At 42.9% G+C, this 18,864-nt stretch overlaps 1 protein-coding gene, 1 long non-coding RNA gene and 1 pseudogene across 10 annotated transcripts in view; all 3 read right to left on the bottom strand.

The window, feature by feature from the left end:
* The window catches only part of PRORP-PSMA6 (PRORP-PSMA6 readthrough), a 195,633-nt gene that overhangs the window by 48,505 nt on the left and 128,264 nt on the right, over positions 1-18,864 (bottom strand). For all 4 annotated transcript variants that reach the window (NR_182666.1, NR_182669.1, NR_182668.1 and 1 more), the window contains one exon: positions 2,092-2,240. This is a non-coding gene — a long non-coding RNA (PRORP-PSMA6 readthrough). The remainder of the gene's footprint in view (positions 1-2,091; positions 2,241-18,864) is intronic.
* The window catches only part of PRORP (protein only RNase P catalytic subunit), a 155,784-nt gene that overhangs the window by 8,656 nt on the left and 128,264 nt on the right, over positions 1-18,864 (bottom strand). For all 6 annotated transcript variants that reach the window (NM_001414503.1, NM_001256680.2, NM_001256681.2 and 3 more), the window contains one exon: positions 2,092-2,240. In NM_001414503.1, the coding sequence (NP_001401432.1) occupies positions 2,092-2,240 (149 nt within the window). The remainder of the gene's footprint in view (positions 1-2,091; positions 2,241-18,864) is intronic.
* RPL9P3 (ribosomal protein L9 pseudogene 3) lies at positions 5,835-6,534 on the bottom strand (annotated as a pseudogene).

Here is an 18,864-nt window from a genome sequence, read left to right as displayed (position 1 = left end):
GGATGAGAGGTTTGCTTCTCCCTTGCTTTATGATTGAGAGCTACTGTACTTTTTAAATAATAAATGATTTGGGGGCCAGGCGAGGTGGCTCATGCCTGTAATCCTAGCACTTTGGGAGGCTGAGGTGGGTGGATCATGAGGTCAGGAGTTCGAGACCAGCCTGGCCAACATGGTGAAACCCCATCTCCACTAAAAATACAAAAATTAGTTGGGCATGGTGGCGGGTGCCTGTAATCCCAACTACTTGGGAGGCTGAGGCAGGAGAATCGCTTGAACCCGGGAGGTGGAGGTTGCCATGAGCAAAGATTGTGCCACTGTACTCCAGCCTGGGTGACCCAGTGAGACTCCGTCTCAATAAAATAAATGATTTGGAGAATACTGACAAATCTTGAAGTTATCACATTCAGACTATGAAACCTAGATTTGGGGCTGAGGCATATACACTCATTAAGCAAAGTTGGAAATAAACTTTTGTTAGCACAAACAATATGAAAACCTCAATGCACAACAGTGCATTGAGTTCATATGTGCTGTTGCGGATCTGTACTCCTCCTAATTAGCTATTTTCTTCTTACTTTATGGCTACTGTAGGTTTGTGGGTTGTTTTTTTTTTTTTTTTTTTTTGAGACAGTCTCACTCCGTAACCCAGGCTGGAGTGCAGTGGCACGATCTTGGCTCACTGCAACCTCGGCTTTCCAGGTTCAAGTGATTCTGCTGCCTCAGCCTCCCGAGTACCTGGGACTACAAGGCGTGTGCCACCACATCTGGCTAATCGTATTTTTAGTAGAGATGGGGTTCACTATGTTGGCCAGGCTGGTCTCAAACTCCTGATCTTGAGTGATCTGCCTGCCTTGGCTTCCCAAAGTGCTGGGATTATAGACATGAGCCACTGTGGCTGGCTTACTGTAGGTTTTGTTACTGACCATGTTTACCATGGTTCCTTTGGCTTCCTGGGAAGCTGCAGCTCAACAGCAATTTTCTCCCTACACTTAGAATAAAATCTAGGCCTCTTGCTTGTCTACCAGGATCTGCAAGGTCCTCTGCATTGCGGTTTCTGCCTTCTCTCTAATCTCAGAGCTTATTACTTTCCCTCTTGCTATTATAGCCCAACTGGCCGTGTTGCTTTCCTCAAACACATGCCAAGCTTATGCCTGCCTCAGGGCTCCTTTGGGCTCCTTTTTTTTTTGAGATGGAGCCTCGCACTGTTGCCCAGGCTGGAGTGCAGTGGCGCGATCTCGGCTCACTGCAAGCTCCGCCTCCCGGGTTCACGCCATTCTCCTGCCTCAGCCTCCTCAGTATCTGGGACTACAGGCGCCCGCCACCATGCCCGGTTAATTTTTTGTATTTTTAGTAGAGATGAGGTTTCACCGTTAGCCAGGATGGTCTTGATCTCCTGACCTCGTGATCTGCCCGCCTCGGCCTCCCAAAGTGTTGGGATTACAGGCTGAGCCCGGCCTGCATCGGGGCTTTTTAAATATTTCGTATTATTTGGGATGGTCTTCCCACCACCTCTCCCCATTTCTCAAATAACTCACTCCTCATCGAATCTGCCCCCTCAGAAAGGCTGTTCCTGACCACCCCATTCACAACCCTCTGACCTATCCCTTACCTAAATTCTATCTACCTTGCTTTATTGTCCCCATAGTACTAATCACTGCCTGGAATGACATTACCTGTTTGTTTATCTGTTTATTGTAAATTCTAAGAGGGCAGGGACTTTGTCTTTTTCACTGCTCTTTCTCCAAGAACATAGAAGGTGCTCCTGTTTGTCAAGTATTTGCTAAATGATCTACTTAGGATCTTATGGCATGTATTCGGTGTACTAATCTCACTCCTGACTTAACTTCCCTCCACTTCTCCTTTATCCTGATTTCCTCATCTGTTTAAGTTTATCCTGCCGTAGAAACTGTAGTGTTTTTCTTTTTTAGAAGAAACCGTAGTTTTGTAAGTTGTCTCAAATCTTTTTTTTTTTTTAATGAGGGTGAGTATACACATACACATGCATTTAAAAGATAGGTTTAAAGTAGGTAACTAACAAGCAGATAGATGTCTGCAGCACAGTATAATTCACCTATTACCTCCAACACTTACATGTCATCAGCAAAAAAACAGCTGGCTTGCTTTTGCACCTCTTCCATCTCATCCCGACTCCACTGGGAACTCCGTCTTAGCATGTGCTTCCGGCCTAGGACCAGCAGTCGCAGATTCCGTTTGGCTAGTTGAGAGACGACATTCAAGAGCTAAAAAACACAAAGCCAGAACCACAAAAGTTCAAGGGAAGACTCTCAAATTAGTGGAGTGATTTTTCCAGCAGGCCACCTCAATGGTGAAGCACTCTTTTCTGGTAGGGGGTAAGAAAACAATCCACAATAATTTCCCATCTTTGAAAGCCTGAGGAAAATGCTTCCCTATTACACATTAATGTCTAACATCTGCCTGCTGGTCAGGCTACATTGCAGGGGGGGGTTTCTTTATTTTTGTGTGTGGGACAGGATCTCATTCTGCTGTCCAGACTGGAGTGCACAGGTGCAATCATAGCTCACTGCAGCCTTGAATTCCTGGGCTCAAGCAATCCTCCCACTTCAGCCTCCTGAGTAGTTGGGACCACAGACGTGCACCACGTCTGGCTAATTTTTTTTTTTTTTTTTTGAGACAGAGTTTCACTCTTGTTGCCCAGGCTGGAGTACAATGGCGAGATCTCAGCTCACTGCAACCTCTCCCTCCTGGGTTCAAGTGATTCTCCTGCCTCAGCCTCCCAAGTAGCTGGGATTACAGGCATGCGCCACCACAGCCAACTAATTTTGTATTTTTAGTAGAGACGGGGTTTCACCATGTTGGTCAGGCTGGTCTCGAACTCCTGACCTCAGGTGACCCACCCGCTTCAGCCTCCCAAAGTGCTGGGATTACAGGCATGAGCCACCATGCCTGGCCTAATTTTTTTTTTTTTTTTTTTGGTAGAGATGGGATCTCACGATCCTGCCCAGGCTGGTCTTGAACTTCTGGCCTCAAGAAATTCTCCTGCCTTGGCGTCCCAAAGCACCTGGATTACAGGTGTGAGCCACTGCACCCAGCCTAGTTCAGCTGTTTTAAACTGTGCTCTCTAGGGCCCACTAGGATAGAGATAGAGAGGCTCAAGAGGGATGGGATTTTGTTTCCTATACATGTCAAACCTTGTTTCGACCCAAACGGCTCAACCTTTATATATTTATCATATTGGTATTCTACATAAGTTTTGATTTGAATAAAAGCTTCTACTTCTTTTTAAGTTTGTAAATGATTAGACTAGACAGTGACTTTTCTATGTTATGACTTTATTGCTAATACTGCCTCCTTTCATTGAAATCCCCTTTTCTACTAAAGATCTGTCGATTTCTACCCTGTAGCCTACTTTCCAGTCAGTTACTTTATCCCCATTCTCTCCACTTCCCACTGGCCTCCACTTCATTGTGTGCACATGAACTCCTCAAAGGTCTAGACTTGGGTTTTAGAAGTCTAGTACTTTGGTGAGCTTGCCTATACTCAATTTTTCATAAGGAAAAGTACATAAATTACTTTTATGTACCACCTATTAAACTAAGCTATAAATGGATATTACTAAGTAAAACAAAAGCTGAAAAAATTATAACTTGTATTATATAATCATGTATCAGAAATATAAAAGATCTTTATGAGAATTGGTGGGCCCACAAAAATCACAAGTTGAAAGGTCTTGCAGAAATCCTTTATTTTCTTGGGTCTTGGTTGGAAAAGGTATTTATTTTAGTCTAGCTTCTCTTTACTCATAAGTTCCTCCTCTGTAGATTTTCAGGACATTACTTAAAGTCCTATCATCAATAAAATGAATTCATTTATTTAATCAGCTATCAAATATTACATTCGTACCTGTTATATCCAATATACACGTTGACTCTGATGATCTAATAATGAATTATCGAGGGCTGAATTTTTTTATTTTTTATTTATTTATTTTTTATTTTTGAGACGAAGTCTTGCTCTGTTGCCCAGGCTGGAGGGCAGTGGCGCGATCTCAGTTCACTGCAACCTCCACCTCCTGGGTTCAAACAAGTCTTCTGCCACACAAGTGGTGGCACTTCCAGAGTAGGTGGGACTACAGGCACACGCCATCATGCCTGGCTAATTTTTGTATTTTTAGCAGAGACGGGGTTTCACCATAATGGCCAGGCTGGTCTGGAACTCCTGACCTTGTGATCCAACCGCCTCGGCTCCCAAAGTGTTGGGATTACAGGCGTGAGCCACTGTGCCTGGCCAGCTGAATTTTAAAAATATTACTGTTTATTGCTTTGGACTGATATTGAATTTTTGTCCACTCCATTGCTAATCTTATTTCAGTAAGGAGTAGTTGGCTTTTTTATCCCTAATTATTAGTTCTATAATTAAGACATAGAATGGGCCGGGTATGGTGGCTCACATCTGTAACTTCGGCACTGTGGGAGGATGAGACTGGAGGACTGCTTGAGGCAAGAAGTTTTAGACCAGCCTGGACAACATAGCAAGACCTCGTCTCTATTAAAAAAAAAAAAATTAGGCCAGGCACGGTGGCTCTCACCTGTAATCCCAGCACCTTGGGAGGCCAAGGTGGGCAGATCACTTGACTCAGGAGTTTAAGACTAGCCTAGCCAACATGGCCCCATCTCTACTAAAAATACAAAAATTAGCTGGGCGTGGTGATGCATGTTTGTAATCCCAGCTACTGGGGAGGCTGAGGCAGGAGAATTGCTTGAATCCGTGGGGTGGAGGTTGCCATGAGCTGAGATCACACCACTGCACTCCAGCCTGGGTGACAGAGCAAGATTCCATCTCAAAAAAAATGAATGAATGAATGAATGAATAAATAAAATAAAAATTAGCCAGGCATGGTGGCATGCACCTGTGATCCTGGCTACATGAGAGGCTGAGGCAGGAGGATTGCTTGAGGAGTTCAAGGCTACAGTGAGCTACAATCGTACCACTGCAATCCTGGGCAACAGAGTGAGACACCATCTCTAAAAAAAAAAAAGAATGGACACAACTTGCCCACTTCATGTGAGCTAACACTCAAGCAGGTAATTACCTTGAGGACACCAAACTCAAAGATTTACAACTAGTAAAATATAGTTCTTTCCTTCAAAGCTAGGAATAATGGTTTCTGTGCTCAAGCAGTTATTTCCTAGACCTCTCTATGTGTAAGGCACATGGTAGGTATCACAGCTGCAGGATTTTAAGCCATAGTCCCTGCCTTTAGTAACGGAGTACCCAATATTATTATTATTATTTTTTTTGAGACAGAGTCTTGCTCTGTCACCCAGGCTGGAGTGCAGTGGCACAATTTCAGTTCACTGCAACCTCTGCCTCCCAGGTTCAAGCGATTCTCCTACCTCAGCCTCCTGAGTACCTTGGATTACAGGCACCTGCCACCCATGCCTGGCTAATTTTTGTATTTTTAGTAGAGACGGAGTTTCACCATGTTGGCCAGGCTGGTCTCAAACTCCTGACCTCAGGTGATCCACCCACCTCAGCCTAGCAAAGTGCTGGGATTACAGGCGTGAGCCACCGTGCCCAGCCCCCAATATTTTCTTATGTAACTATCAAGACTAAGAAAACATATATGCTGGCTCTACACACATTGGATGGGTCATAAATATATTTTTTCGTTAATAAATATTTTCTGATTAGCTGAAGAATATGCCCAACATCCATTTTCATCCATCATAAAGTAGCTCATATTTGAAAACTTGAAAAATGAAAGAACAAATGACTCACAGCTCACTACCCAAAGATTGTTAATGTCTATTTACCAGTCTTTCTGTCCTATGTATTTTTATTTTATTTTTCTTTCCAAATCAATAGGTCTTTTGCATCATTTAAACATCACAAATAGGTCTTAGGAATCATCCGGCATCTTGTTTCAGAAGCTGGACAACTCTTAGATCTTATTCATCAGCCGGCTGAACAGTTCCTTTTTCAGAGACATAGATACCATCCAAAAATTTCCTGATATCCTTGTTTTTAACTGTCGTGGCTTGCTGAATCAAAGCCTCTAAATTGGAAACAAGCTCAATGTCATTACCTTCAAGGATTAATTCATCTTTCTGGGCTTGAGATACTGAACAAGCAACACCTGTTCTCATCCGAACCCTGAGGATGTATTTTTCACCCAAGAAATTTCAGATTTCAACAAGAGACCCATTCTCCTGGATAACGACATTGATGGGGAAGTGAGCATACACAGACCTCATCCTGTAATGGAAGCCCAGTGTAACACCCTTGATCATGTTCTGTACATGACTACAAATAGTCTGAACGGCAGCCAGTTCCTTTCAGTTTCCCCACCATTTATCAACCTGGAGCCTCTTTTCTTTCTTTCCAAGAAGACTGAATCTACACTGATGTGATTGAAATCCCTCTGCAGGGTTCCTCTGGGGCCTTTCACAGTAACTGTGTGTCCCTTCAGAGTAATGTCACCATTTTCTGGAATGTTGACAGTCTGGTTGCTGAGAATGGTCTTCGTTCTCTCAGTAGACATGGCAAAGAAAGTTATTCTATGTATTTTTAAACATAATCTTATAAGCTATTTTAAAAGTTGGGCTAGTAATAAAAGGCAAACATCTACACTAGTAAACTTTGATTCATGGATTCAAATAGCTCAAAAGACATAGGCTGGGTCTGGTGGCTCAGGCCTGTAATCCCAGCACTTTGGGATGCTGAGGCAGGAGGACTGCTTGAGGCCAGGAGTTCGGGACCAGCCTGGGCAACACAGCAAGACCCCATCTCTAAATAATAATAATAATAATAAAATTATAAAAAAAATTCAAACAAAAACTATTTCTGATACTGATTGCTTAAGTTTTCAGGCAACTGGGAAAACATGGCTTAAGATAATACAGTTGTGTCTTCATAGCTATATCCTGGTTCAGATAAATGGCCTTGAGTTTACTAATAGTACATTAAAGACTGGGGCCCAAAGAAGAGCAGAAAAGCCTATCTTGAACTATTCTGGGGCACCATCTTGTGGCTGAGAAGTCTCTACTAGAAGCAGCTCTCTGAAAACAATGAAAACAAAGGAGAATAATTGAAAGACACAGGGAAAAAGATGAGTGTGCAGCATAAAAGCCCTGGCCTGAAACTCCATGACAGTCCAGCCATGAACCCACTTCCTCTCGGGTAAATTCGAAGGCTGGATCCAGTGGTCTGAATCAGTGTCATAGGTATACTTGGAATAGTTTGTTTGTTTTTTTTTTGAGACAGAGTCTCGCTCTGTTACCCAGGCTGGAGTGCAATGGCACAATCTTGGCTCACTGCAACCTCCGCCTCCTGGGTTCAAGTGATTCTCCTGCCTCAATCTCCTGAGTAGCTGTGATTACAGGCACCCGCCACAACGCCCAGCTAATTTTTGTATTTTCAGTAGAGACAGGGTTTCGCCATGTTGGTCGGGCTGGTCTCAAACTCCTGACCTCGTGATCTGCCCGCCTTGGCCTCCCAAAGTGCTGGGATTACAGGCGTGAGCCACCGCGCCTGGCTACTTGGAATAATTTTTTTAAAAAGACAGAAAATTCAACTTAAGATTCTATGTTAGATCAAAAGTAAAACCAGGAGGGAAAATGGAGTAGATGTACTTCTCCCTATGTCTCCCACTAAGTGCAACTAAAAACCTTGGACATTATATATAAAATAAACATAAGAAGACTTGGAAAGGTAGAGGGAAAAATGGCAAACTGGCTGGGGACCTCAGTACACAAGGACTGACATGGTGGTGAGTTCCCTGGGTTTTCTTTTTGCCACATAGATCTCAGAATTGGAGCTGAAGAAGCTGTCAACCTAGAAATGCCAATGTGTGCAGACAAAAAAACCCAACAAAGGCTTGTTCTCTCTAGCCAAAGACCAGGAAAGAGGCAGTCTTACTCAGAAAACTTGGTAAAATAACATCAGTAGATTATGATGCTGTGTATGTGTGTGAGTCTGTGTATGTATAAAACAAATAGAGTTGGCTGGGTGTGGTAGTTCATACCTGTAATCCTAGCACTTTGGGAGGTCAAGTTGGATGGATCGCTTTGTTGCAGAAATCAGGAGGACTAGACAGACTTCGGGGTAAAGCAGGAGGATCTTTATTGAGTGCACTCAGACCTAGCAGACTTAACATCTAAAAAACTGGGCTAAGAACAAAGACAGCACTTGACTGTTAAATACCCTTCAAAAAGGGGGTGGGCTAGCCTGAAACAAACTTATGGTGGTGCGAAAGCAAGAATACAGAGGCAGAACAAAGACAGTTAATCAAACTGTGATAGGTGCATAACTCAGGATTACACATGACTGTTGCTATGCAATCTAGATGGCTGTTATCTAGGTTTGCCTTAGTGCCTAGCACGGCTTATTCTGTGACATTCACTATGGCACCTAGGTGGCTATAGCTTAGGCCTGCTCAGATGTCTCATGACTTTCACTGTACTGTTTAGGTAAAACAGAATACTTGAAGTTACTAGTTACAGAGAACAGGAATCTATAAACTTATACTATAAGACAAAGGAAAATTTGTTTTTCTCTTCCTTATGTTGAGGGAGTACTGGGAGAGTCTTCAGGGCACATTAGATAGTATTATCAAGACTTTTCTTGGGTCTGGCCTGTGCCTGTTGCTGCCTCTGGGTCAAGTCAGCCTAATACAGGAAAGTTTATTTCTCTTTTTTAATTTTATTTTTTCTTTCTTTCTTTAATTTCTGCCTCAGCTTGAGTTCAGGAGTTTGAGACCAGCCTGGGAAACAAAGCAAGATTTTGTCTCTACTAAAAATAAAAAACATTAGTTGGGGATGGTGGTGTGTGCCTGTGGTCCCAGCTACTCTGGAGGCTGAAGTGGGAGGATCCCTTGGGCCCAGTAGATCAATGCTGCAGTGAGCTATGATAGTGCCACTGCACTCCAGCCTGCGCAACAGAGTGAAACCCTATCTGGAAAAGCTCCCACCAAAAAAAAAAAAAAAAAAAAAACCCGAAAAACCTCCAAAACACCTGCAGTGATCACTAAAAATGCTATACAAAAAGATACACTCAAAAACACTATAGATTTTATTTTATTTTATTTATTTTTTGAGACAGAATCTCGCTGTCCGCCAGGCTGGAGTGCAGTAGTCTGATCTCGGCTCACTGCAACTTCCGCCTCCCGGGTTCAAGCAATTTTCCTGCCTCAGCCTCCTGAGTAGCTTGGATTACAGGTGCACGGCACCATGCCTGGCTAATTTTTTTTTGTATTTTTAGTAAAGCCCGATTTTCACCATGTTGGCCAGGCTGGTTTTGAATTCCTGACCTCAAATGATCCACCCACCTCAGCCTCCCAAAGTGCTGGAATTACAGGTGTGAACCACTGCACCCAGAAAAAAACACTATAGATTTTAAAAAGCCATTATAAAGAAATAAAAACGGAATTCTAAAAAAGTTCAATAGTCCATAGGAAGGGAGGAAAAGTAAAACAGAGACAAAACACAGAAAAGAAAAAATAAATGGCAAATATAAGCCCTAACATATCAATAACAGTATGAGGTATAAAAAGTCTACATATACCAATTAAAAGACAGAGGCTGGCAGAATGGATTAAAAAACATGACCCAACTATATGCTATCTAAAAAAAAACTCACTTCAAATATAATCAAATAGACTGGTGGAAAGTAGAGGGATGGAAAAAGTTATATAGCATGCAAACAATGAAAGGAAAGCTGGAGTGGCTATATTAATATTAAATAAAATAGACTTCAGAGCAGAGAAAATTACCAGAGACACAAAAGACGTTATATAATGGTAACAGGGTCAATCTAAGAAAACATAGCAATCTTAAATGTGTGTACCAAACAACAGAGCTGCAAAATATGTGAAAGCAAAAGCTGACAGAACCAGGAGGAGAAATAGCCAAATCTACAACTACAGTTGGAAACCTCAACACTCCTCTCTCAACAATTGAGATAACTGGACAGAAAATCAGCAAGCATATAGAAGAACTCAACACCATCGTCCAGGTTCATGAATTGGAAGGCTATAGACAGTAAAGGCAAAGGAAGTAGAATAGCTAAAACAATTTTGAAAAGAAAGAATGAAGCAGAAAAATCAGTTAACCTCATTTTAGTCCTTCTTATACAGCTATGGTAATCAAAACTGTGTGATAATACCGGAAGGATACATTCTGGAGTCTGGACTACATAGCACAACAAAATAAACAATACGCGGTTCATTCTAGAGCACATCTAAAATTCCAAACTGATCCCAGAACTAATACCTCCTGAGTACCCAATACCTCAGGCTTAACCTAAAATACGGTATCTCTGCCCCGCCCCCACACCCTGCCTGCCCCATCCCACACAACATCACGGGTCCTCCTTAGTGATACTTTCCCTTACTGATAAGGAGTACACTTGGCCCAGACTTCTGGAATGGGAAGATGGAGGCTTACTCAAGTCAGACTTATCATCTTAGAATTCTTTTTTTTCTCTCTTCTGATTTGGGGTTTCTGTTTCCAATATTTCCTACTATTTCACCTTTCCTTTTCACAAAATTATTTTTCCTTGAAATACGTCTCCTTTTGCCACTGCATTTTCTTTATTCTGATTACCATCGGGGTTAAATTTTAATTTTCTGTCTACTGTTTTTTCTCAAGATGATTAAGGATAATTCTCTAAAAATCAGAAGAATAAAAACATATTTTGCCAGGTGCGGTGGCTCATGCCTGTAATCCCAGTGCTTTGAGAGGCTGAGGTGGGAGGATCTCTTGAACTCAGGAGTTCGAGACCAGCCTGGGCAACATGGTGAGACCCTGTCTCAAACAAATGAACAAACAAACATATTTCAGATTAATATTTGGTTTGAATTTTTCTGGTTTGGCTTCTGCCCTAATTTGGCTTATCTCCAGTAGGAGGAGATAAGAGATTTTTTTTTTTTTTACTCATATGTGACACATCAACTTTTGGCATAAAACTGATGAAAAGTAGTTCCTGAGCTTAGGGTAAAAATATAGTTGGCAGGGCTACATGGGTTAGAAATAACTGTGTAGGGATGCTCCGGAAATAGAAAAGCTGCCTGGGAGGTAAGAGAGGCCAATGAGAGCAAGAGTTTTTCTCAGTAATCCTAAACAGCAAATGTTAACTTCCTTTCCCTGTGCTTATACCTTTTTACCTCCTCCTCTGCAGTCTATGGCACTTCCTGAGGTTTTATGGATTGTAGCTGTTCAGAAACTCTAAAGCCTTTGGGATCTGATGTCTTCAGAAATTAGAAATTCTTCGTCTGTTCCTCAGCAAGATAACTATCATCAATATACCTCATTTATAAGAACATTCATTATGGGATACCTCCAGGAAAGAACTTAAAAACTGTTTTGGAAGCAACCCAAATGTCAATTTCTGGAAGATGAATAGATCGATAAAATGTGGTATATACATATAATAGATTATTATTCAGCCTTAAACAGGAATGAAATTCTAATACATGCTACAACATGGATGAACTTGAAAACTAAGTGAAAAAAGCCAGACACTAAAGGACAAATACTGAATGATTGCACTTACATAAGTTACCTAAAGTAGTCAAATTCATAAAGACAGCATAGAATGGTGGTTGTCAGGGCAGCAGGGAGAGGAGAATGAGGAGCTATTGTTTAACGGATACAGAGTTTCAGTTTGGGAAGATGAGAAAAGTCTGGAGATGAATGGTGGCAACAGTTGCACGACAACATGAAGTACTTAATGCCACTGAACTGTATACTGAAAAATGGTTAAAATGGTAAATTTTATGTTAATATATTTTACAACAATAAAAGATTTTATCAGGCCAGACACAGTGGCTCATGCCTGTAATGCCAGCACTTTGGGAGGCTGAGGCGGGCAAATCACTTGAGGTCAGGAGTTTGAGACCAGCCTGGTTAACATGGTAGAACCCAGTCCCTACTAAAAATACAAAAAACTTAGCTGGGTATGGTGGCAAGCGCCTGTAGTCCCAGCTACTTGGGAGGCCGAGGCAGGAGAATCGCTTGAACCTAGGAGGAGGAGGTTGCAGTGAGCTGAGATGGTGCCACTATACTCTAGCCTGGGCAACAGAGCGAGACTCGGTCTCAAAAAAGAAAAAAAAAAAAAAGGATTTTATCATAAAAATTTTAAATATAAACAAAAGCAGGCAGAATAGCATAATGAACTGCCATGTACCCATCGCTCAGCTGCAATAATTATCAGCTCACGGCCAATCCAATTTCATCTATATACCAATTCACTTCCTTCTCTCGGATTATTTTGAAACAAATCCCAGACATATCATTTCACCTGTAAATATGTTGGAATGCATTTCTAAATATAAGAATGCTTTAAAAGATAAGCACAGGGCCAGGCGCAGTGGCTCACGCCTGTAGTCCCAGCACTTTGGGAGGCCAAGGTGGGCGGATCACGAGGTCAGGAGTTCGAGACCAGACTGACCAACATGGTGAAGCCCCATCTCTACTAAAAATACAAAAATTAGTTGGGCGTGGTGGCAGGCGCCTGTAATCGCAGATGCTCAGGAGGCTGAGGCAGGAGAATCGCTTAAGCCCAGGAGGCGGAGGCTGCAGTGAGCTGAGATTGCACCACTGAACTCCAGCCTGGGCGACAGAGCAAGACTCTGTCTTAAAAAAAAAAAAAAAAAAAAAAAGATACGCACAATTTCTTTTTTCTTTTTTTTTTTTTGAGATTTTGAGACAGAGTCTCGCTCTGTCACCCAGGCTGGAGTACGGTGGTGCAATCTCAGCTCACTGCAGCCTCCGCCTCCTGGGCTTAAGCGATTCTCCTGCCTCAGCCTCCCGAGCATCTGGGATTACAGGTGCCTGCCACCACGCCCAACTAATTTTTGTATTTTTAGTAGAGATGGGGTTTCACCATGTTGGCCAGGCTGGTCTCAAACTCCTGACCTCGTGATCCGCCCTCCTTGGCCTCCCAAAGTGCTGGGATTACAGGCGTGAACCACTGCGCCCAGCCTGATAAAATCTTTTCTTGTTGTAAAATATATTTAATATAAAATTTATGTAACATAAATGTAACATAAATGACTCATATTTCTGAGTCACAATTGTTTTTTGAATAAGGATCTAAAAAATTCCCATACATTGAAATTGCCTGGTATCTCTCTTAAGACTCTGTATAAGCTCTTTATCTATTTATCTTTTCTCCCTTATAGTCTAAGGCATATGATTGTTCATAGAGAATTTCCTCCATTTAGATTTTACCGATTGCATCCCTATGGTATCATGTAACATAGTCTCCAGTCTTCTATGCTTCTTGCAAACTGGTAGTTGAATCTAGAGGCTGTGTTTGGTGGTACATGCATGTAGTCCCAGCTACCTGGGATGCTGAGGTAGGAGGATTGCTTGAGCCCAGCAGTTCAAGTGTAGCCTGGGCAACACAGCAAAACCCTATCTCTTGATAAAATAAAATATAATGGTCCTGATGAATTGAAAAGGCCAGTTCATTTATCAAAGATTAAGAAGAACCTCCTCTGTAAGTCACTAGGCATGTGGTACTTGGAATACAGATATAAAAAAACAGTTATTCCAGCCGGGTGTGGTGGCTCATGCCTGTAATCCCAGCACTTTGGGAGGCCAAGGCGGGTGGATCATTTGAGGTCAGGAGTTCGAGACCAGCCTGACCAACATGGTGAAACCCCGTCTCTACTAAAAATACAAAAAAATTAGCCAGGCGTGGTGGCACATGCTTGTAGTCCCAGCTACTTGGGAGGCTGAGGCAGGAGAATTGCTCGAACCCAGGAGACAGAGGTTGCAGTGAGCCGAGATCACGCCACTGCACTCCAGCCTGGGAGACAAAGTGAGACTCCATCTCAAAAAAACAAAAAAACAACCAAACACAGTTATCTCTAACCTCAAGGTCTTTGCAGTCAAATTAATATAATATAATGTATGCACTAAGATGGAACACAAAGGATGGGCACTTCAATCAGACTGTGGGTGAGGAGGGTGGTCAGGGAAGTCACCACAGAGGAAGTGACAGCAGAGCTGAGTTTTCAGATGAACTAGCCCGGCAAGGAATGGGAATTTCCAAGAACAGGAGCAGCAAGTTGAAGGTGGAGGCTCTTTATTAGCACACTGAATTTGAGGAACTGCAAGGTGTCAAATGTGACTCAAGCAGAGGTGTGGGAGGATGACATGGGACGTGCCAGAAATAAGACTGGAAATGAATGCAAGGGTTAGATCCCAGGGGTCTTTATAAGTTGTATAAAGTCTTTTCCTGCCTGAAAGCAATGGGGGAAAATCAAAGGATTTAAAACAGGAGAGTGGGCTGGGCGCGGTGGCTCATGCCTGTAATCCCAGCACTTTGGGAGGCCAAAGCGGGTGGAGCACCTGAGGTCAGGAGTTCAAGACCTGCCTGATCAACATGGAGAAACCTCATCTCTACTAAAAATACAAAATTAGCTGCGAGTGGTGGCGCATGCCTGTAATCCCAGCTACTCAGGAGGCTGAGGCAGGAGAATCGCTTGAACTCGGGAGGCAGAGGTTGTGGTGAGCTGAGATTGCGTCATTGCACTCCAGCCTGGGCAACAAGAGCGAAACTCCATCTCAAAACAAACAAACAAACAAACAAACAAGCAAACAAACCAAAACAGGAGACTGACATGACTTCCATTTTAGAGAGATCAAAATTGTGGACTGCATGAAGGCTGGGCCACAAAAGGGAGATCAATTAGGAGGCTTCTGCAGTAATTCAGGCAAGAGATAATGAGAAAACTGGCAGTAAAAATGAAAAGAACAGAGCTCTTTGTGAGTTAGTAAAGCAGAATTGAGCAGACTTAGTCACTGACTGGATGTGGGAAACAAGGAGAGGGATAAAGCAAGACAGATTGGACAGCTGGATAGATGATGGTACCAAGATAGAGTCTATGAGAGGAGGAGCTTTTGATATCTCAAGGTGGGAGAGATCTAGTAGGCGGCCAGTTATGTGGCTCTCTACCACTTAGGAGAGGGATCTGGGCTGCAGATAAAGATTTGGGAGTCATTCAGGGAACATGCAATGGCAGGTGCCATCAGAGAGTAGATGAGCCGTAACAGGACAGGTAAAAACTCTGGAGGGAAGATAGTGGAGGAAGACACTTGAGGAATACCATTATTTGAAGGATGGGGTACTAAGAAAAGCTTATAACAGAGACTGAAGCATGACCAAAAAGATGAAAACCCAGGAGACAGTGGTCTCTCAGAAAGAGACTATAAGGAGCATTTCAAGAAGGAGGGAGCAGCTATGTACCAGTGCTACGGGGACACCATGTCAGATAAGAACCAAAGTGTGGCCTACAACCAAGGGGAGTCATTTTGATGATGCCAGAGGGGGCAGGACTGAGATTTCAGTTGGTTCCCTAAATCCTATATAAGGATGCAGTTTGCTTTGCCCAGAGAGACTCTGTCCTATAAGTATAGCTCTATTTTGTCTGAGCAAACAATCGATTCTGCTCTTCATTTCAGATACTGAGTGTTGTGGCCTCTTCAAAATCCCATCTCCCAGAAGCTTCACTGCGAAGGGAGAAAAGTGTGTGTGTGTGTGTTTCTTTTTTCTTTTCTTTTTTTCTTTCTTTCCTTCTTTCTTTCTTTTTCTTTCTTTCTTTTCTTTCTTTCTTTCTTTCTCTCTCTCTCTCTTTTTTTTTTTTTGAAACAGTCTCATTCTGTCACCCAGGCTGGAGGACTGCAGTGGCACGAATCACAGCTCACTGCAGCCTCGACCTCCTGGGCTCAAGTGATTCGCCTCCACCTCCTGAGTAGCTGGGACTATAGGTGCACACCAGCATACCTGGCTAATTTTTGTATTATTTGTAGAGGTGGGGTTTCACCATGCTGCCCAGGCTGGTCTGGAACTCCTGACCTCAAGCAATCTGCCTGCCTTGGCCTCCCAAAGTACTGGGATTACAGGCATGAGCCACTGCACCTGACCAGCAGAAAGTTTCTCAATTTTTTTAAGGATGGAAGAGACTTGAGAATATTCATATTCTGATCAGAAAAAGCAAGTAGCAAGGTAGAGGCTGAAGATATGGGCACAGAAAGGAAAACAAGGTTCCTGAGAAAGCCGGGGATAGAATCTACAGAACAGGTGGAGAGAACACCTCTTGCCACTGAGATGGAAGGATAAGGGTAGGTCTAAACATAGGAAAGTCTGATTGTGTGGTTTGTGTGTAGGTGTGTGTATGTGGTATGTAGGTAGAGATGTGAAGTCATTCATCCTGATATTTTCTGTTTTCTGTGTGCAACAGGAGGCAAGTCATTGGCAGAGGGATGGTGAAGTAGGAGGCTTGAGGGCAACAGTGCAGATGAGATATAGCTGGTGTGGGGATTGGGAGCAGGAGCTGACTGCAGACACGTAGAGAGAGCTGGACAGGGTAAAGCCCAGTCATGGTTGGAGACCACCCACACCTACAGGCAGCAGCAGTTGGCCCAGTGGGGAGATTTACAGGGCTCAGCATCCTGCCTGCACCATGAAAGAAGGCAACTGGAAGACAGCCAGAAAGGATAATGACTGCCTTCTTTTTAATTTGTTTTTTTGTTTGTTTGTTTTTTGTTTTTGAGACAGGGTTTCACTCTGCCATCCAGGCTGGAGTGCAGCAGTGGCACAAACATGGCTCACTGCAGCCTTGACGTCCTGGGCTCAAGTCATCCGCCTGCTTCAGCCTCCTGAGTAGCTGGGACCACAGGCATGTGCCCCTACACCCGTCTAATTTTTTTCTTTTTTAGAGATGGGGTCTCACCATGTTACCCAAGCTAGACTCAAACTCCTGGGCTTAAGCAGTCCTCCCTCCTCAGCCTCCCAAAGTGTTGGGATTACAGGCGTGAGATACCATGCCTGGTCATGATTGACTTCTGGTTTCATGTTAATATTTGGCCAAAATGCACTTTCTGGTAGAAACATAATTGAAATGTCAGTCATCTAATATAATTCTTCCTATTTATTATTAGTAATTGGAGATACTATTCCAAATTTATATTCATATCAGTATAGGATCCATGGTTTTGTATTCTGGTCCAAGGTAGGAATTCCTCAGGTACCCTCCCGCCTGCACCTGTGCCTCCCCGACCCCTCCACTATCCTTACAGTGTTATTAAAATTTGTCAAGTCATCATTAACAAAAATATTAAACAGCCAGGCGCGGTGGCTCATGCCTGTAATCCCAGCACTTTGGGAGGCCGAGGTGGGTGGATCACGAGGTCAGGAGTTCGAGACCAGCCTGGCCAAGATGGTGAAACCCCCGTCTCTACTAAAAATACAAAAATTAGCTGGGCGCGGTGGTGGGCGCCTGTAATCCCAGTTACTCGGGAGGCTGAGGCAGGAGAATCGCTTGAACCCAGGAGGCAGAAGTTGCAGTGAGCCAAGGTAGCTGCACTCTAGCCTGGGCAACAGAGTAAGACTCCATCTCAAAACAAACAAACAAACAAAACCCAAAAATATAAACAACATTATTTACATACAATTTTTTGTATGGAAAGATGAAATTATCTTCGATAATTTTCTATTATTTCTCATAGCAATTTATGAGGGAAGTCAGCAGTGTTTTCTCATTTACAGGATAAAGAAGGTAAAGGAAAGAGAAATTAGGGACTTAGTCAAGGTGTTCCTAAGTGGTAATATAAAAAAAGGATCTTGTTTTTGCAATTGCAAACTGTGCTGCTATAAACTTGTGTGTGCAAGTATCTTTTCTGTGTAATGACTTCCATGCCCATCAATCAACAAGTGGATAAAAGAACTGTGGCATATATATATATGATGGAATACTACTCAGCCATAAAAAGGAACGAATTAATGGCATTTGCAGCGACCTGGATGAAACTGGAAACTATTATTCTAAGTGAAGTAACTCAGGAATGGAAAACCAATCGTCGAATGTTCTCACTCATAAGTGGGAGCTAAGCTATGACCATGCAAAGGCAAAAGAATGACACAATGGACTCTGGGGATTCAGGGGAAAAGAGTGGGAAGGGGTAAGGGATAAAATACAAATTGTGTGCAATGTATACTGCTCGGGTGATGGGTGCACCAAAATCTCACAAATCACCACTAAAGAACTCAATCATGAACCAAACACCACCTTTTCCCCAATAACCTACGGAAATAAAAAATTTTAAAAAACGAAAAAAAAAATAAAATGGAGATTGGCCACCTCCAAAAGACTGAAAAATAAATACAGGATCTCAAAACCACCTGGCTCTCAAGGCAAGTTCTCTCTGGCAATATCTCCCTCTTTTAAGGACTTTAGGAAACAAGTAGGGGCCTATTTGATAAGGTGGTTCAGGGAGGCCACGTGTCAGTGCTGAAGTACATTTCCTTCCTCAATCTACCTCTCTACCTTCTGTTCAACTTCCCTCCCTTTAATGAATCAGTCGGGGGATGGTGAGGAGAAGCTCCACTTTATCTGAGCCTTAGTTAGGAGCAGACCTCAATTCTATTCAGCTAGTCTGGCACTCCTTGGAAAATGCATCAGTGTCATTCCCTGGCAGCTTCTGATCTTATTATTCTATGTGTAAAATGAATCAATGTAAACAGCTCTTCAGGAACCGGAGGAAGTTCACAGATCCCTAAACTCAGGAATAATTTTCTCTAAAGGACCTGATGTAGAAGGGGAGTCTGATTAAAGTAGAAACTGTTTTCCCCGAAAATGGTCAGCAGCTGTTCTAAGTCCAAACTGGGAGTAGGTAGGGTGTTTGAGGAGCAAGGCACCATGCATTTGAGGGGTATAAGACATCTTTTTTTTTCTTTTTTTTTTTTGAGACCGAGTCTCGCTCTGTCACCCAGGCTGGTGTGCAGTGGCGAGATCGTGGCTCACTGGGTTCAGGCAATTCTCCTGCCTCAGCCTCCCGAGTAGCTGGGACCACAGGCATGCGCCACCATGCCCAG

The sequence above is a fragment of the Homo sapiens genome, chromosome 14, assembly GCF_000001405.40.
Source record: "Homo sapiens chromosome 14, GRCh38.p14 Primary Assembly".
NCBI lineage: Eukaryota > Metazoa > Chordata > Mammalia > Primates > Hominidae > Homo > Homo sapiens.
This window is presented reverse-complemented; position numbering and strand designations above follow the sequence as displayed.